This window comes from Homo sapiens, chromosome 12 (genome assembly GCF_000001405.40).
Source record: "Homo sapiens chromosome 12, GRCh38.p14 Primary Assembly".
NCBI classification, from domain to species: domain Eukaryota; kingdom Metazoa; phylum Chordata; class Mammalia; order Primates; family Hominidae; genus Homo; species Homo sapiens.
In genome coordinates, this window is record NC_000012.12 from 81,518,163 (window position 1) to 81,539,260 (window position 21,098).

General features: G+C 35.0%; 1 protein-coding gene and 1 long non-coding RNA gene across 47 annotated transcripts in view; one reads left to right on the forward strand and one right to left on the reverse strand.

Moving 5' to 3' along the window:
* PPFIA2 (PPFI scaffold protein A2) overlaps window positions 1-21,098 on the reverse strand; it is a 501,376-nt gene that overhangs the window by 260,188 nt on the left and 220,090 nt on the right. The window contains exon 2 of one of the 44 annotated variants that reach the window (XM_017020118.2): window positions 17,260-17,349. The exons of the other annotated variants lie outside the window; for them this stretch is intronic. Coding sequence (XP_016875607.1) covers window positions 17,260-17,262 — 3 coding nt within the window. The 5' untranslated portion in view covers window positions 17,263-17,349. The remainder of the gene's footprint in view (window positions 1-17,259; window positions 17,350-21,098) is intronic. 44 annotated transcript variants of the gene reach the window in all.
* PPFIA2-AS2 (PPFIA2 antisense RNA 2) overlaps window positions 1-21,098 on the forward strand; it is a 141,042-nt gene that overhangs the window by 101,058 nt on the left and 18,886 nt on the right. The window contains exons 5-7 of one of the 3 annotated variants that reach the window (NR_199034.1): window positions 3,024-3,088; window positions 4,164-4,342; window positions 5,938-6,916. The exons of 1 other annotated variant lie outside the window; for it this stretch is intronic. This is a non-coding gene — a long non-coding RNA (PPFIA2 antisense RNA 2). Of the gene's footprint in view, window positions 1-3,023; window positions 3,089-4,163; window positions 4,343-5,937; window positions 6,917-21,098 lie in introns of those variants that run through there. One more of the 3 variants, NR_199033.1, reaches the window with a different exon arrangement.

Sequence of the window (21,098 nt, forward strand, 5' to 3'; positions counted from 1 at the left end):
CTGGATCATGGCCAATTTCACTATTCCAGTCAAAATTCTTGATGATCCAATACCAACATGGAAGGATATTGACCATCTCTTTTACAATGACTTGATCCTGAATCATATCTCAGCCATCTACTTTCAAGGTCATATCTATGTCCTGCTAATAACAACAAGTACACCCCAATTCCATAATCTCAACCTTAAACATCTCATTCTCTATCTACTAGTTTTCTCTATTTCCAATGCTTTTACTCCCTCAAATAGCCAAGATTCAGTAATTCTTCAAAGCTAGGAGTACCAAATCCACTGCAGATCACTCCTCCACGCTTTCTCATGTTCTCACCTCCCTAGCTATTCATCTTAGATAGTACAACCCATCATGGTAAGCACTTTCTTACTGACACCTTCACCTTTCTAAGCATTTAGCTATTCATCTTAGATAGTACAACCCATCATGGTAAGCACTTTCTTACTGACACCTTCACCTTTCTAAGCATTTCTTTCTCTTCCACAGAACTCCCTACAAACTTTCCCTGCCTTATCATTTTTTATAATATCTATCTATCTATTAATAGTTGCCTCTTTTCCTACTTGGCCATAATTTCCACAAGGGCAAAGACTCTTCTGTTTATTGCTATTGTCTCAGATGGTGAAACTGTGGCTAGTATGTAATAAGAGCTCAATAAATATTTACTGAGTAAATTAATGACATAATATTTTAGGTTAACTAGAATATTGTCCGTCAGGTTAAAGCTGCTCAAATATTTTACTGAATAAATGAGTCATATAGAATAAACCCTAAGATAAAACAAACCTTTAAAGCCTATTTGATCTACTCATTGAAGGTAGAATGAAAAATCAATTGTGTAAAGCCAATGATATACAAAATAAACAAATGTATTCTATTCTTTTTGTCATATAACATACTTTGAAACTTTTCTTCCCTTTTTAAAAACTTTTCCTCCTAAATCTCCTACCTTTTAAATGGAAATTACCTCAATTAAAGCAACAATATGATTTTCAAAGATTAAAAATATATGAGATAACTAATTGAATAAACTCTTACATTGGTCCATTAAAATAACTATAGGTTATATTAATATTGTGCTGGAACTGATTATCTTCAAATTGATTCTATTCTCCTCAATCTGTCTTTAAGGAAGGATATTAAAAGACTTGAAAATACTTAAAGACTAATTTTAATGCTGTCTTTCAGCAGTCACAATGTAGTTCCCAAATTATTAATTACATCAGGTAAATCAACCATGACAAGCTATTAATAGGAAATGGAGAAGAAAATTACATTAGTAAAAACTATTTAAACTGATTATCTAATTATAGAGAGACCCACATTACATAAGCATGCAATAGGACAGCCTATAGGGGTACAGTTAGTCGCAGGTCTGTATCTTTGACTGTTTACAGTGATGTCGCTTCCGCTACTATAATGAACCATTAAGTGACCTACAATATATCAAATGGCATGGAATCGTGTACTTAAAGAAATGTCTCAAGACCTTGTTTAACTAACATGCTCCTAAAACCTTCACAGCATTTAGCTATAGAAGCAAACAACACAAATTGCTATTCAGAACTTATAATAACGAAGAAAGATTAATTTTAAAATGGACTTTTCAGTTTATATACAGTCCCCCGTTATCCATGGAGGAATACATTCCAAGATCCCCAGTAAATGTCTGAAAACAGGTAGTACCAAATTTTATATATGTCTTTCCCTGTATATATGTACATGTAATAAAGTTTAATTTGTAAATTAGACACAGTAGGAGATTAACAAAAATAAAATAGGACAATTATAACAACATACTCTAATAAAAGTTATGTGGATGTGGTCTCTCTCTCAAAAATTATCTTACTGCACTGTTTTCACACTTCTCCTTGTGATGATGTGAGATGATATAATGTCTATGTGATAAGATGGAATGAGGTAAAAGATGTAGGCATTTAACACTGGGTTACTTGGCCCTTCTGACAATATGTCAGAAGAAGGATCATCTGCTTTAGGTGATTCTGGATCACTGATCTATCATGATGTTGATGGCTGGATGTCAGGAGTAGATGATGTTGATGCCTAACGCGCAGGTAGTGCAGACAGCATGGATATGCTGGATATGGGGAGGATTCATGTCTCAGGCAGAACGAAGCAGGTTGGCATGAGATTTCATCACACTACTCTGAATGGTGGGTAGCAACTTAAAACTTATAAACTGTTTATTTCTGGAATTTTCCATTTAATATTTTTGAGCCGTACAACTGACCTTAGGTAACCGAAACCACAATACTGAACTGAAAGTGAAACTATGAATATGTGGGGACTACTGTACTTGTAACTCACAAAGTATGCAATAAACACTTGTTCTTTCCTTCCTTCACTTTGATTCTTTCTTCTTTTCTTCTTCGTTTCTTCTTTTGACATATATTACTTGTCACCTACTACATGTCAGGTGCTTTGACATGTCTGGCAGAATAGTACATAACAAGACAGACAAGGTGACTGAGATCTGAAGGATAGGAAGTAGTCAGTTAAGACAACAGCTGAGAGGAAGAGGGTCAGGAGGTGGTGACCACCCTTCCTGAGAGCATCCCCACACACTTCTGTTGGTAAGAAATGCATGGTATATTCTAGGAGCCAGGGTGCTGAACACAGAATCAGTGACAGTGCATGTGTCAAGAGGAGAGAGAGAGTAAGTAGGCAGGATTTATACCATGCAGTGCCTGGTAGCCCAGGAAGAGGGTTTGTTCCTATTAGAACTGCAATGGGAAATCATTATAGCAGATTTTTTTAGGGGGGGTGAGGAAGGGAGGTGTCATATGATATAAACATTGTAAAACATAATAGCAGAAATGTCTATTTATATGTTGCTCTATTTTGTATATAGTGCTAGGGAATCATATAATTCCAAAAATTATGCCATGTTTTTACAAAAGTGAGGTCCTAAATATTCACAAAAGAATGACTAGACTATAACTCAATGATTAGAGTCAATGGAATACAATGCATTCTTGACTGTTTCTAGAAATTTCAGGAATCACGAGAAAAAAAAAAAAAGTGCGGTGTAAAGATCGCTACCAAAAGATCAAGGTGAGTTTTGAGCCTTCTGCATGCCCTCTTTAACAGCCCCTCACAAATGCAGTTTAAAATAGTAACTGTCGTGAGTGATAACTTGACGTATTTATCATCTAATTGAGCTGGTGATGGTTTATTCTGATATTTACTAAACACTTATTCTTTGGAAACGATTCATCTGCAATGTATCATCCACAGTGGTAAGTACAGTGTACATATGCAGTAAGTGCAATATACTAACATTTTCTTATTTGAGAACAATTTTGAAAAGTAATGTCATCCAAAGGAACAGTGTTTGAAGTATTCATAGCCTTTTGTTAAAATCGTTGCCCAGCACTTTGGGACGCCGAGGCGGGCAGATCACGAGGTCAGGAGATCGAGACCATCCTGGCTAACAAGGATCTCTAATAAAATACAAAAAAAAAAAAAAAAAAAATAGCCAGGCATGGTGGCGGGCGCCTGTAGTCCCAGCTACTCCGGAGGCTGAGGCAGGAGAATGGCGTGAACACGGGAGGCGGAGCTTGCAGTGAGCTGAGATCGCGCCGCTGCACTCCAGCCTGGGCGACAGAGCAACTCCATCTCACAAAAAAAAAAAAAAAAATTATTGCACATTTTTTGTAAAAATCTATGATCTTGTATTATGAAACTAAATTGCATCCAGGACTGCTCAATTTTGTTTATAAAGTTTACATTGTAGATTGTTACATAAAGGATTAATTTTTGCAATTGTTCTTTTTCCAACCAAACATGATCATAAAATGCATTTACCTATTGGAATAAAGATGAATCAAATAAAATATTTGAAATAAGTCATTGTACATATACTTGTTCCATAATAGCTTTTTGAAAGTATTAAATCTATAGATGTGAAAGAAGCAAAAATATAAAAAATCTGAAACTGGACAACAAACATTCATTATGCAAGATATTTAAAGCTAGCTATTGAATTGCTTCAAAATAATTTGTTGTAGGCTACTGTTTTCTTCTTGATTCCACTGCCTACACCTTAACAGGGAATAAATAAATACTCTCCTATGTGTACAAACACCTTCTTTTTAGAAATATTAACCATCTACTGTGGATTTTATAGATACACTACAATATAAGGAAAGTTGGATGCAACTACATATGTCTTGCATGATCAGAAAAATATGATATATTAAAAGAATATTCTTTCTGAAGATTCACTCTCTGAAAAAAAAAGTTCTAAAAGGGCTTATACAGAGCGATTTAAATACAAAAATTTGAATCAATCAGCACTACATCTCTGTAAGTATACAATAGGAAAATTTCTGAATGAGAAATTACACATGCTTTCTGTCATCAGGCTCCTGCTAGCTCAGTGCTATAATTCATCCTACACTGCTGCAAATATATCTTTATAAAAATTACAGCACTACTACTAATATTTTGTGCTTCATTTCACCAAATTTTAACCTAATCACTTCCCTGCCGTCCAAATTTTTCCTCAGAAGCCCTTTTCCATGACAAATAACTCTTATCTACCTTGATTCTTCACAGAACGGTTTTTCTCCAGCTTGCTTTGACTGCAAAAACTTTATTTAGAGTGCATCACTGTCCTATGATCCTCACTCACAGAGACAATATTGTGTATTGGTTAAGGTAGTGGTAGCTTCTGTAACAAATAAATCCTGAAATCTCAATAGAGGTTTTTCTAATTAGTGGACTGGGGGAATTTTCTCCCCACATTCACTCAAGGACCCAGGCTGATGGAGGTTCTGCCATCTTTAACATGCTGCTTCTAGTTTGCTCAAAGGATCAACACTCATCTATCAGAGGATTACATGAGATTGTTTTTTTGGCCAGGCCAGAAACCTATGTATGCTAATCTTGCCACTATTTCATTGGCGATAAATCTGTCATGTGGCTGCTCCTGACAGAAAGGGAGGATGGGATATACATTATAGCCAAGTGCCCAGCAAGAAAGAAGAAGAGTTTTGCTAAATAGCTAAATAGTCTCTCACAGTCCCACAGACTTCACATATACTAGGCACAGGAGTTTGTTAGCATTTTTCTAGTTAGTAAATAGTTCCTTATTCCTAGGACACTTGTACAAACTACATCTTCCTTAGAATTGACCACCCCCTATATTCTTATCCCTGTGAGATGTTTTAATCTTCACATGGTTGACCCATTCCAAAACGTATCTTCCTAATTAAAAACACAAAAGTATTTCAACATAAATGTTCTTTACTGTCTACCTCTTCTGCTAGTCATATTCAAGGACATGCATGCACCTCACTTAGCACATTTTTGTCATTAGAACACTTGAATTATTATTAATTATTGAATACTCCATCCTTTTTTTCATCTACATGCCTCTGGGAAATATTATTTCATTAAATAATAGAACCCTCTAATAAAATCTTCACTAAACTACCCTTCTCATTCCTGGGGGTGGTATCTGTACACTGTGCTGCCAAAAAAACCTAGAGCTTACCTCTACAATGTGAGGAACGCTTAGAACACGAAAATTTTCTACTAACTTAACAAGACCTAAGACTAAACTTTTCCACCCATACTTCTTGCTAAACTCAAATTAACCCACCAATAGCTGCTAAACCTTGGTCACAGTCTTGCTTTTTTTACATCTACTACCATGGTTAATGAAACATCAGTTTGCCCATACCTTCCAAAAATATAAACAATGAAAAATTCTTAGAACAAAACTGAACCTTTAGAACTTTGGACCATCTAATTACCTAGATGCCTTTCCCTCCTTTATCTGTCTTACAAAAGTTCTCTTATTTTCCACTACCATACTTACATGTTACACATTGTATGATGCCTCTGCTGCCCCCAGCAAAGCTGTGGGAGTGACTACCTCCATCTTGTTTTCAAAGGAAGTCATGAAGAACATCAGTGCCCAGGAAGAGAACTGCCATGAGGGTGGGGTCACTTCAGACAGTCCCCACTGAGTCAATGCCCAGTGGAGCCATAGGGTTGGTTCTACCCTCAAGACCTTAGACTGGTAGAGCAACCAGAGTTCTATTCCAGCACAGAAGAGCTCTGGTGTGGGCCGCACCCAGCAAAACCAAGCAGGGATGCCTGGAGCCCTGGAGCCCATTTGCCCAGTAAAGCTGAGAAGATGGAGCCTCTACCCCACTGTGTCCACAAGGAGACCTCTGCCCCAGTGGGCCTCAAGGGCAGACAACTGAGTCAAAGAAGATTCTTCCACAACATTTATGTTTTGGACTTGTTCAGGACCTATCATTTATTTCTTCTTTCCTATTTCTTTATTTTCCAGTGGGAATGTCTTTCCTTGCCTGTCCCACCATTATATTTTGGAAGCACATAATTTGTTTTATTTCACTGGTTCACAACTGGACAAAAATTTGCCTCAGAATGAATTGTATCTTGAGTCTCATCCATATCTGATTTAGATAATATTTAGATGAGATGTGAACTTTAGACTTCTAAGTTGATATTAGAACAAGTTAATACTTTTGGGGTAATTGAAATGAATGCATTTTACATTTGAGAAGGACATGCCTTTTTGGGGGATGGGGCAGAATGAAATGGTCTAAATATATCCCCTTAAAATTCATATGTTCAAACCCTAACCTCCAAGGTGATGGCATTAAGAAATGAAGCCTTTGTGAGGTGATGAGCTGATGAGGGCAAATCCTTCATGAATGAGATTAGTGTCCTTATTAAAGAGTCTGAAACTCCTCACCAATTAAAGCTGCCATATGAAGTTACAGTGAAAAGACAACTATCTATGAAACAGAAACTGAGTCCTTACTAGACACTGAATTTGAGGGTGCCTTGATCTTGGATTTTCAAGCATCCAAACTGTGAGAAATAAATTTCTGCTGTCTATAAGTTACCCAGTTCATGGTATTTTGTTATAACAACTCAAAAGGATTAAGACACATTCCTTAATAATTCTCTACCCCTTTAGATAGAGTCAATTTGGCTCCTGTGATGGATAGATCCTATGGACAAGGTCAAGACACTGGTATTTTTTCCTCTGGTGTTCACTTTCTATACATTCCCTCTTATGTTACAGAACTTGTGATTTGCCCCTCACCAAGGTGAAGAGGTGAAAAGATTTTTGCACATGTAATGAAGGTCCCAAATCACTTGCCTTTGGGTTAATCAAAAGGAATATTATTCTAGATGAGGTTGACTAAACCAGGTAAAAGCTCTTTTGAAAAAAGATATGAAGCACCCTGCAGGTAAGGGAAATATTCCTGCTGAACTTGAAGGAAAGTGTAGGTAACCCCTAAGAGCTGAGGGTCTCAGTACTACAATCACAGGGCCTAAATTCTAGCAGCCACCCTGTGAGCTTGGAAGAGGGCTCTGAGCTCCAGTTGAGGACTCAAATCTGGCCTCTGAAACTTTGAGCAGAAGACTCACCTAGATTGTGTCTAGATCCCTGAACCAAGGAAACTGTGATAATGTGTGCTGTCTTAAGTTGCTAAATGTGTGGTGATTTATTTCCAAGCACTGGAAATTAATGCAGAACCCTTATATATGTTCTCCTTATATTGTTTACTAACTCCATTACAACACTGGACATGAAAAACTGTTGCTCATCAGTGACTTTCTTCCCAGTGAGATTCCAAATTCCACAAAGGCAAGAACCATATCTCATTTATAAAATTCAGTAATCAGAACATATTTTATTTTTGGCTAGAATAATATAGATACACAACAAAATTCTTAGAAATTTTCCCACTATTCTAGTCTAAGTAATCTAGTCATTGGTTAAAAAAAAATATAAAATTAGAAAATCAAAAACTCCTTATTAAAAATCCAGGTCTCAGGTCTCAATAGCAGACATTGATGAATCCTTTTTTCCTTTCCAAGTACTTAGATATTAGACTAGGTATTTAGCCTTTTACATGCACCCCTGTAGTTTAAGGAAAGCCAATTAATCTCCTACCTTCAGATAACTCTTTTAGCTTGAGACAGCATTTTTTATTCCCCTAATCTCAAATGTCAGCATAGGGATGTGATTTCAGTGAACCTCTTACTTGGAATGCCAGAAACAGAGTGGTCTTTTTCCTGATAGTTGAGAATAAGGGTGCATGTGGCCCTGATTGCTAATGCAGGCCAATTTGTGGCTGTGAGCTTTTGCCTGTTTGGGGATGGAAATAATATCATGAACTGAAGAGCAGGGAAACACAATCAATTGTGTTTAATGACATGATTGAAGACCTGTACCACCATTGCTGAATCCTGCCTTATTTCTGGATTTGAGTCACCAGTAAATCTCTTTACTGTTTAAAGCCAGTATTAGCTGGGATTCTGTTGCTTTAACATATAGTCCTAAATGAGGCCATTTCTAAAACTATATTATCAAAGAATCACTAGGATTGGTATAAAGCAAACATTTGGTCATTCAACTAATTATTTACAGGATGTCAAATAGCTGAATGGACAACTTTGTTAATACATCCTCATATTTTATGATTGTGGAAATAGAACACTATGACTTTTTAGATTAATGTTGATTTGTAAAGATAGAAGCAACAAATTTTTAAAATATTTAACATTTTTGCTTAGTATTTATCTCTAGCTCCTCAATACCCAGTGGTTCTGAGTAGGTTTAGTTTGCATATCATTGATATCTATTTTAATTGGTAGATACAGTCACTCATATATTAGAATTCTCATAACAGATTTGTACCTATGCTTCTAGCTGAAGGTATGACCTAAAAGTTAAAATACAGAATTATTCTCTGGGAGAATTTAAATTAGCCTTTGATCAGAACAAATAGGGTCACATAATACCAATACCAAGATGGTGGGAACTTCACATAATTGTAAAGTGGTGATGGCAAGGAGGATTAATTTTGCAAAATCCATGCCAATGATACAATAAAAATATTCGTGTCTTAATTTAGTCATTTTCTTTGCCTTCAAGAATTCAGCTAATCAATATTTTATTTTAATAGGTGTCAGCACTGTAAAAGTAAGACACAGAAACAGACCAAGAAACCAGCATTGGGCATCTGATGCATCATTACTTTTCTTTCTTTCCTGAACCATTCCCACCATGCCACAATTTCAATCATCCTAAGAAAACATATTATTAATACTCTCATCTTCCATTTTCTAACACTAGGTATTTACTCCTACTATATACACCCCGGGGAGCTCCATTTTATGCTTCTGTTTAGAGTAAAATTCTTTGAAGAAGTTGTCTCTTCATTGTATTGACTTCCACTTTTCTTAGTCTCTTTCAAAGCCTTCTGACTAATCTTAGCAAGGTCCACATGAACACATCCTCCCCTCCCCCTACTCAAATATATGCATAGTTCCTTCTTTACTTCCTTTTTTGAGTTTTATGTCCAAATGGAACCTTCTCAGGCAAGCCTTTCCTCATACCTTCGGTGTTCCCTGCTTTATTTTTTTCTTTAGTGCTTAATGCTTATTTAATTACAATTTATTATATATTTCTGATGGACTGAATTCTTATGTTCCACCCAAATTCGTATGTTGGAACTCTATCACCTAATGTGATGGTATTAGGAGGTGGAGTCTTTGGAAGGTAATTAGAATTAGATGATGTCATGAGGGTTTAGTGACCTTACAGGAGTCCTAAGAGAGCCTGCTTCCTGCTTCCATCATATAAGGACACAAGGCACCACCTATGAATGAAAATCTGCTGGGCTTTCACCAGACACCAAATCTGCTGACACTTTGATCTTGGACTTCCTAGCTTCCAGAATTGTGAGAAATAAACTTCTGTTGTTTATAAGCTACTCGGTTTATGGTATTTTGTTGTAGCAGCCTGAACGAACTAAGACAACATTTATAATCACCACCAATCACTCCTACTAGAATGTAAGTTCCATGAAAGAGGGTTTTTTATTTATTCTATTAACCTCATTATTTCAGTTCCTAGAATAGTACCTACCCCTTAGCAGATATTCAGTATTTTTTTGAATGAATGAGAGAGTGCCATTGATCAAGTGAGCAAAAATTAGGGCAGTCACCAACAATAGACAGAGGATCTGAGGGTACATCTTGAAGCAGACAGATCAATTAAGAGAAATCAAGAACTCAGATAGTGATATGGGTAACAAGAATTCAGAAGCGCAACAAAATGATTAGGTAAAATGCACAGAATTCCATGTTCCAGAATAGAATTAGGTAAAGTGTCAGCTTTCTACTGAAGAAAATATCCGTACGCACTTTATATAGTCTAGAGACTGAATTTATTTCAAACCTGGCTGATTTATAAGTGGAATCAGGCAAATATAACTAACTTCTAGGTATGAGGGGAAATAAAACAAGTTCCTGACAACAGAATTGGCTTTCTATTCAAATTATTGAGTACATGTGTTCATCCCTAAGCAGCAATGCTTTATAATTGTCTATGACCACAAAATATAATTTAAGTTCACGAATTTATAAATATATTTACTAATAAATACACAGAAAAATAACACCAATATTAGAAACAATCTACAAATGTGTTGTGAAAAGCATTTCCATAGCAACATCAGAATAATTATCGCTATAATCAGCAGTAGAGAAAATGTGCTAAAGCCAAGCTTTATTTTTCTCAGAATCATGGGACTGCAGTGCTCACCCACACAACCGAATCAGCAGCATGAAAAACAACAGAAAATTATATTTTATGTATAAAAGAGTAATTGAGCACTCTACAATTATATAGAAATCAATGAGTACAAAAAATAGATTAACAGCTATGAAAAGAGACAATTATGACATTTTTAGTGTCAGTAAAATGTATCATATTCTAATATGAGATTATTTTTCTAAAATTAATGCACTGTAGCTGGAGACCCAATTTTAGAAGAAGAAATGAAAACTCATATCAAACATCTTAATTTGTAACTCATTAATGCAACTAGCATGACTTCATCTGGAATCAAGAAAGGCACAGTCTCTCAGAGTCAATGTGTCAGAGAAAAGATAAAACTGACAACCCTCAAGAGAATTATTCTTATTTTAATGGACTACATTAAACAAAGAAAATACTACAAAATATGTACTTTTCTGTGTTACATAAAGATATAAGCCATGAAGTATAAAAACAAAGTCATCATAGATTTCTATAGTCAATCAAAAAGACACCTGAGTCTATTTGCTAATATTTTATTTACTTTTTCAGCATCAAGTGATAAAGTAATGTCTTAATTTTCTTGAATTTATATTTTTCTGCTATTTTCAATCTTCTATGAGAGAAGAAAAACCCAATCCAATAGTCCACCAGGAAGAAATAACCTCCCAAGGAGAATATAAGCTGTATATTTATTCCAAGTAAATAGAGAGAGAGAGACACACACACACACACAAAGAGTGGCGGGGGGGCAGTGGAAAGAGAGAGAGAGAGAGAGAGAGAGATTCATATACCAGGATTGCTCCAGGCACTAAAAATACAAAGGCAAGCAAGGCCATTTTTTGTTCAATGTCAGCTGAATGCCTTTAAAAATTGTAATTTTTCAATGGGGGTTGGCTAACTCCAGCTCCTCCGGTTAAATACAGCTGACTACTTGTTGCATGGTCCAGGTGCTAAATATGTTTTTTACACTTTTAAATTGTCCAGTTGGAGGAGAACAACACACACAGGGGCTACTGGAGGGTAGAGGGTGAGAGGTGAGAGAGGATAAAGAAAAATAACTAATGGGTACTAGGCTTAATACCTTGGTGGTGGAACAATCTGTACAAAAAAAACCATGGCACAAGTTTACCTGTGTAACAAACCTGCACATGTACCCCTGAACTTAAAATAAAAGTTTTTTAAAAAAATGATGTAGACCAACACATACAATGCTATAAACTAAAATAAGAAGAAAAAGAACTTTCAAAGATTATATGACATGAAAATTATATCAAATTCAACTTTCAGCATCCATAAAGATGTTTTATTGGAACACAGCCATGACCACCCATTCCTTCATGCATTGTCTGTCACTGCCTTTGAGCCACAAGAGCAGAGGTGGGTAGCTGACACAGACTCTATGACCTCCCAAAGCTCAAAATATCAACTGTCTGGCTCTTTACAGAAAATTTTGCTAACTACTATTGGGTTAAGCAAAGCTTTGACAGATATTCAGAATACAAATGAACACAATTTTAGTATCCTGAAAATTTGGAGCTTCAAGATAGGAAGAAATTTAAAAAGAAGGCAGAATTCTGTCAGAAGGTGAATAGAACTTAAATACTCTCTCCTAAGAGCCAAAGAAATGCAAGATCCAATCTAATGATGTAATAGCCTAGGTCAGGAATGTAAGCTTTGTGAACAGACCTGGAGTTTGTGAACTGCAAGATGCAGTAGAGCAACTTTTAAAAAAATTGTTCAAGTTTATTATTTTAAAAGAGGGCGAAGTGTGGCAACTGGAATGAACAGAAAAACCACTCGGAATGTCCACAGCTATTCAACTCCTGCTCAGCCACAATCTCTAGTTGAAAAGTCAGCACATCAGCTGAAGAGGGTACAGTCTCCTTAGTAGTACACAGTAAATAGTAAGCCTGGATAAGCCCAGAGAAAATTGAGGAGGATAAAAAAGAGAAAAAAAAAAACACATTATATAATATATGTGTTTAAAAAGAAATCTCTACATATTTGGAATATTATGTATTTGCAATGTTTTAGACATTCTGTCCTTATTAGAGATAGAAGTCAGGCTCGTGATTGAAATTTAAAATGATTTAGAATTGTGACTTTAGGCAGAAATCTTACTATGTTTGTATGCAGTATTTACATAATTAAGAAAACTCAGATTTCAATATATTAAGTTATCTGATTTCCCTTTTAATTATCTAAGTTGTTTGACAGACAACATCATAATAAATTTTTTAATGTACTCTTAAACTTTTATAAATTCAAGATGCAGGAAGTTTCAATTCTTTGGTCTGAGTTACAAAAATAATTTCAATGCAATAACTTGAATTACTTTGCAACCAGTTTACTTATTCCCAGCGAATAGAAGCCATGCCAGTAAATCAAATTGGCATAAATAGTACAAAATTTATTCATCCAAAAATACCAATTAAGTAGTTAGTTGTAATTTGTCTAGAATTCAATGTGGCACTACATATTCGAGATGAATGATAATATCCCTGCCCTTCAGAAAACTAAAGAATGGTGGAAGAGACAGATAATTAAATCACTAGGGTAGAAGTATGATAATAGTATAAATGGAGTGTACCATGAAATCACACATGCAGAAAAAAGGAAACAAAACCCAACATCAAGAGATCACAGAGGACTTTCTGGGTGAATTAAAGCTTACGTGGAATGCTGAATAAAAATGAAGAATCCCCTAGGCTATAAATAGATCACATTTAGTCAACTTACAAAGGACAAAACAAAACAATCATGAGGAAGAGAATGATGATAATTAATAACGAATAAGTGATAAGGATGATTGAGATATTGGCATATGAGGATATAGCAAGATACGAGATAGAACGGAAGACAGGGTCTACTGTACCAGGAACATTGTAGAATATTTAAAGGATAGATTTTCTTCTAAAGGTAATGAGGAGGTTTTAAAGATTATTTTATTTCTTTAAACAAGAGAGCAACACAGGTAAGGTACCCTTGACTGGAGAAGGACTGGAGGCAAAGAGATGAACTCAAAGGCTTTAATAATAATGGTACTGGTAAGAAATAATGAGGACAGTAGAATCTGAAAATGAGAAATTCAAAGAGCAAGGTTTATTAAATCACTTGTGGAAATAATTTTGAATTAATTTGATATTAATTAGAAAATAAGTATAATGGACACATTTCTTGATAAATGAGCTGCTCAATTCCTAAAAGGTCAGCATGATCTCAATGCAATCCATGGCTGCAACCCCAAACCACAACCTCTGGCCACAGTTACTTGAATCAAAAATTGTCTTTGGAAATAAAAGCAGCCGTGACATTTGTTATACAGAAAACTTTTCACTTTGGTGGCCTGGCTTTAACAGATGAGCAAATCCAGTCAAATTAGAGATTTAAAGATTCCCACTAGCAAGCTGTAGACTTTGCAGCTGGAAGATTATATACCCTTGGGTTGTGGGGTGGACATTTTCAGATTTGTGCAAGCTGATGACTAAGTCTATTTGTAGAAATAGGAGGATAGGGCAGAGCAGAGAGAAAAAAAGAAAGTGAGATGAAAATCATATAGTCCCTGAGAGACTATCAGAGCAGCTCAGCTCCCAAAATCTTGCCAGTTGCCATGAGGTCAAGTAGTCCTTTCACTACCATCCTTGGATTTTGTGAGGCCCTTCAAAGCTTTACAATTTACTGTCTGTTCTTGATCTAGTTTACATGGGTTCCATTGCTCGCAAACAAAAGGCTCTGGGTAGAAAATGCAAAGAACCACTAATGATATAGATAAAATACTATACAGTTAGAAATCTTTTACTCTACCTACAAAAGAAATTTTTTAGCTTCTCCTTGAATATTTTCAGTGACCACATGCATAACTGTTTCTGATTACAATCTATCCCATTTGCAGAATTTAGATATTTGCAGCCAATTCTTTTTATTATGATTAAATTTATCCTGATTCCCATTTTATTTTTAAAGCAAGAGCTATGACTCTTATTTGTTTCTTTGTTTTCCTCATGCCATAACCTCCTTCTCTTAAGCAGAGTGCCTAAAAATGTTTTTAAAATTATTATTTGCATTTCCCCTCTCAACATATTAACTGAAGCAGTTTTTCACTGATAGAATAAAATCCCCTTTATCTCAACCAAGAAGGCATCTTCATTTAACAAATATCATTTAATTTTTTTTTGTTAGTAATGTGTTTCTTATGTATTTGGTTTTTGGCCAAAATGCAGCTGACAGTGCAACTTTGTATCATAATGTTGGTGAGGGGCACTTAACTTTCTGAGTAAAGTTTTAGAGCTCAGTTTCATATCCAGTGTTACCAATATCTTGGTAGAAGAAAGGGATTTAATAAAATGAAATGTTTAACCATGATGGAAAGGGCATTGGATAAAATGTTCAAAATGCATTTAGGTATTGAAGTATATAATGGTTACAAATGACATCACAACGTTTTAATATAAAAGGATGACATCACAATATTTTAGTATAAAAGGATATTCTATAAAGGTACTCACATTCTCCAAAGCTTACTTACGATTGTATAATTTATCAAATTTATGCATATATTTTTAAATAGTTTGTATATTCAATGCCTTTCTTATCCTATTCTTTAGGCCTAGGTTATTTAAAAAAGTACAACCTAGAAGATCTCAAATTTATGCCAAATTAAGTGCTGGTAGATTACACTGAGTTACAGACTTTCTGCAGTGATTTTCCACAACTTGAAATTTTCCACCTTTGAAAATTCGTGAATTTTGGGGGGCAGAAACTGAATTTGGATGCAAAAATTGCTCTGAATAAGAAATAGTTTTATAGTTATGAATATGTGAACAATGAATTAGAACTTATCAATGTTATACCAAAACTCCTCTTTGATTGTAACGGTTTCTAAATTCACAAATCTATCTATCTATCTATCTATCTATCTATCTATCTATCTATCTATATATCTATCTATCTACATATATATATACACATTTGTGTATATACAAATGTGTGTATATATATGATAATTTGTGAATTATCAGGATATATATATATTTCCTGAAGTCACTGTATCATCCTAGTAAATTTGCACAATAATATCATATTTGTCTTTAAATTATCACTCCCTTGCTAGTTTTTTTACCAAAATAAAAAAACGAATGGGTAAAGAATATGTGACATATATACACAATAGAATACAATTTGGCCATAAAAACATGAAATCCTGTCATTTACAGCAACATGGATGGATATGTAGGTCATTAGGTTAAGTGAAATAAGCAAGGCACAGAAAGACAAATATTGCATGTTCTCACTCATATGTGTGAGCTAAAATTTTCCTTTCATGGAGGTTGAGAGTAGAATGGTAGTTACCAGAGGCTGGGAAGGGTGTGTGTGTAAAAAGAGGGAGATAAAGAGAGGTTGATTAATGGGTACAAACATAGAGGTAGATAGAAGGAATAAGTTCTAAAAGTCCATAGCAGAGTGGGGTGACTATTACTATAGTAAACAAAAATTTATCATATATTTCAAAATGTTAACAACTAGAAGAGAGGACTTAAAACGTTCCCACCACATAAAATTGAGAAATTTTCAGGGTGATGGATATCCTAAATGCCCTGATTTTATTATTACATGTTCTATGCATGTAACAAAATATCACAGGTACTCCATAAAGATGTACAAATATTATGTATCAGGAAAAAATATTTTGAAACTCTATTAATGCATTTTCCCTCTTGGAAATTATACTGGTTTCTTTTTACTTTTCATTCTTTTAAAAAAGACTATAAGGGACCCTAAGCACTAATAATTTACTGTTAAACTTTGAGTTTCAAATTTAACTCAAAAATTCATAGCAAGGCACTCTTTCAAGAGGGAGAAAAAGAACTTTTCTAGAAACAACCCAAGCACACTTGATATACATCAAGAACCAAAGCTGAGAAGACAGTTCATGAAGTCAGAAGTGAGAGCAGATAAAGTAATTGCCACACAAGAACTCTTTCAGAAGTAGAGGAGGGAAGCAAGAAGATGAGAAAAAAGAGAGTAGTGCTGATATGCAAATGGCTTGCTCCCCAGTCAGTGTTGAAATTCTAGGGAGGGAGAAGATGGAGTAGTTTGAAAGATTCAGGTTGATTGGAGAAATGGATAATTAGGGGGAGGTTTCCTGCTTCCCCCAGTACAGTCCCGGCAAGTTCTAACGTCTTCAGAGAAGTTCCCATTTTAGCAGGTGTTATGGCCACCATGCAACAAGAAGATTTCAAATATGTGAACAATAAATTTGAACTTATTGTTATAGCAAAGATCTTCTTGGATTATAATGGTATATACATATATATGTCTCCATATAGGCAAAATTGCCTATATTGGGTGAAATGTTGCCTAGTTGAGTAGACATGAGAGCAGCCTCAGATGGTCTGGTACACTACAGCTTGGAGTATGAAATGTGTAGTTGAAATTTTAAGGGCAATGGACAGCAGAGCATGCACAAGAAGTTCTGAGAATGCTGGTGGATTTCAAGAGGACTGGATTCAGGAAAAGAGGGTTCCGGAGTTTGGGAACTCTTGATTATTGGCAAAGGCCAGATCTATAGTCACCAGCACTGGATTTCAGAACAACACTTGAAAGACAAGATGGTACCCACCATATCTCAGTGGACACTAGGTCATGATGCTCAATATCCTGAAAGGCAGAATCTCACTGTAGCAGGTGCCATGAGATCAGGTTGAGACACCTAAAATGAAGAACATCTAACTCAATAACACAAAAATACATACATTTCTCTGTCCTTCTAGATACTACCTTGGCAAGGGAGGAAGGAAAAAAGTTCCTAAAACAGAACCACCCCACAGCAAACACACACATACACACACACACACAAAACTAGTGAGAGTGTTTCAAACTAAAAGAGACTGAGATCTCTTTTATGACACGTGTTACTTTATATGAGGAAATGAAAGTTCAGGAGCAAGAAGATATTCATCATAGAAAACAGGAAAATTTACAGGAATGTATTTTCTTTTATTTTTAGAAATTGCATGAAAATTTCACTTGTTATAACTATAACTTGGCAAACTCCTTCATTCATGCTGCCTTTGTGGTAACTGTATATATCTACCTTTTCTAAATAAAACCAGAATATAACACAAGGTAACATCTAGGAAGAAAGCATTAGCAAACCGTGCTATTAGCCACTTCATTAAATCAGGCAGGTCATAAAAAACAAGCAAAGCCACATTTTCAAATTTGTTCCTCAGATTCATTTTCACACATCATCAAATCTAAGTCTTCAGTGAATATATGAGTGTTATAAATATAGTCAGCATCTCAGCCTGCAAAGAATACACTATGAGAATTAATTACCAAAGCACTTAAAATTCATCAAAATCACAACAAAGCTGACAACTATTATTTACTTCCATATCAGATCAGTTGAAGATTAATGTGAAACAAGATAAATGTATCATCTGTTCTGAACTACCTACACAGTAATCATCTCTGGCTCAGTATAATTTCCAAATTTCACTCTAACATACTCATAAATACTTAATATTACATATAGCCTGTATTTTATCTGAAACTTTTATGGTGCTTTACCATAAAAATAATCGCTTTCAATTATATTTTCCAAGCCATTCAAATGCCACACTAAGAAATATCAACAACCTTATTTTAGATACCAACGAAAGACAAGTATTGTTTCCCCAAATATCTTTATTACAGAAAATTAAAAAAAGAAAACTTTTCCTTAAAGTTCCAAAATTTTAAATTTTATATTGAAAAAAATCAATTTATTCAATTTCCCAAAGGGAAACCAAAAAAAGTGAACAGCAAATTGACTATTGAAGATTAACCAATTAGTAATAAATATATTTATTGAGTTTATTGCAGATTATTCAATTAATATATACATGCTATATATATATAGCATGTAATATACATATATACACAAATATATATACATAAACATATATATATATATATATATATAGTTTTGAAGAAAAATATAAAATAACTTCTCCATTAGAAAATTATCTCTGAGATGTGGTAAGGAGAAGAGGAAATGAAGAATTTTTTTTTTTTAGGTTAACATGACATAGCTAGAAAAACACGCTATATTTCAAATATAGCAGTTAAGACTGATGGGAAAGTAAACATTTTTTAAAATTCATGATAAGTTCCCCACCGGTTATTGACAGGTTTATGGTTTTACGTTAGTAAATATTGATTTATTAAGTATATACTCTTTATAGAATACAATACAGCCCTAAAGTCTGAGTGGAAAGCAGAAGGAGAATTACAAAAGAAATGAAAAATAAGCATCTTCCAATGAAGCACTTAATTATGTATGTATGTTGTAGGCAAAATGAAAAATTTAATATGGAACACTTGTAGAGAAACCAGGCAACAGAAGATAATTCTTTGATGTGTTTAAAGTTTAAAAAAATTCTGCTGGGACAATTATGTAGTATATGAATTTCAGTATTTAGACATTTGACTTTTCCCATTATCTCACAAATCCTCCCCACTGGCAATGGAGACACCATCTCCTTATTTCAACACTTATAAGTAAAAAAGAGACATAAATAAAAGAGGAGAAAGAGTTAAGGGAGGAAGTGAACAAAAAGAAAGTATGGCCCTAATTATAATCAAAGGCATCCAAAAAATACAGAACTGAAAAATCAATTATTCCTTACTGTGTGCCTTTGCCATGCAATGCCAAATAAAAGAACTGAGTGTACTTGGATTCCCTCTTGCCCTTCACACCAATGTTTTGTGGACCACTTACTCATCTAACCTAATACCTGAGATGCCTCCCTTATAACTCTTGGTAAACTTAGATGTTCTCTACAGACCACGTATTCTAATGTCAACATGCCTCAATTAGAGTGCATATCAAGACGTATTTTAAGAATCCCTTCTTCCTATTAGACTGTTAATGAGTTCTTCGTTTTACCAATTTTTCCAGGGCCTGACACCATGCCTGGCCTGCCCCATGTCTGACCTCTGCAAATGTTCAATCTGAACAAAAGATGAGCTCTAAGGGAGAAGAGAACTGGCTGGCTAAAAGGAATCTCAAGATGTAACATTTTCTTACTGAATATTCCCTAGATCAGTGCCTTCCCCGCAATCTTTTGGGGTTAAATATTTGATTTTGTTCAGGACACTAACAGTGGATCAATCTCTCAAACGTAGACTCACATTATCCATGTTTGCAATCTGATAATAAGCAAAAGTCCCAAGAAATGAATAGCAAACCTCACAGTATAGTAGGTGAGAGCACAATTCTTGGATTGAATTGAATCAAATGTTACCCCCACTAGGCTGTAATGTTAGAAAGTTATTATATCCCAATGAACTTGTTTCCTCCCTTGCAAAATAAGCATAAAAATAGTCACCTCAATAGTTGGTTGTGAAGATTAAAAATGATAAGGTATGGTGAATACATAGCATAATTACTGCATATTGATAATAAAGAACAAATGTTGATATTATCATGACAATATTAAAGAAAAGAAGTTGTAGATCTTGATGATCAATCCATTCCTCCATTACATGCATGTTCATGGGTGTCAGACAGTATTCTTAATACATGGATATATTATTATATAAAACATAATGGAGTTTAGGTTCTAGTGCAGATAGAAATAAACAATAAAAATACACAATAAATATGTTTTATGTAACAGAGAGAAGATATATGCTTTGGAAAATATAATAGAGGATGTTCGGGAAGATTGGAAATGCTGAGGATGAGGGAAGGGGTATTGCCATTTTAAGTTGGGAAGTCCCAGTAGGTATCATAGAGAAGATGCTATTTCAACAAAGACTTGAAAGAAGTGAACATGTGGATATCAGGAGTAAAAGTATTTTATTATAGAAAACAGCAAATACAAGGGCCCTCAGGTGTAATGTACTGTCTGTTTTGTGGAACAGGATGGGGGCTGGTGCAGACAACATGGAGTGAACTAGGGAAAACATAGTATGAGGTGAAGTCAGAGCATGAGTCGTGTCCATGGGTCATTCTAAGAATGTTGGCTTCCATCTGGAGTAAGACAGGTAGTCTGGAGGGTTCTGAGGGCAATAATAACAAAAACTGAGTTTTAGCATCACTTTGGCTGCTGTGTTGAGAACAGACCATAGAGCGACCAGGGTAGAAGTATGGTTTAGGATATGTAGTTAGAGGACTATTGTAATAATCCAGATGAAAGATGATGCTCAGACCAGGGTGGCAGCAATAGAGGTGGCGAAATGTGGTCAGATTTCTGTATGGGTTGTATTGTGTGAAAGAGAGAACTCAAGGATGATTTCAAGATTTTATACTAATCCACTGGAATTGAATTGTTATCAGTTAAGATGGGGAAGACTCTGCGGGGAGCAGTTGAGAGATGAAGTCCAAGAGTTCTGCTTTAAGATACGTCAACTGAGATGCCTATTAGAAATAGAAATGGAGAGGTTGGGTAGACATTTGCATATATGTGT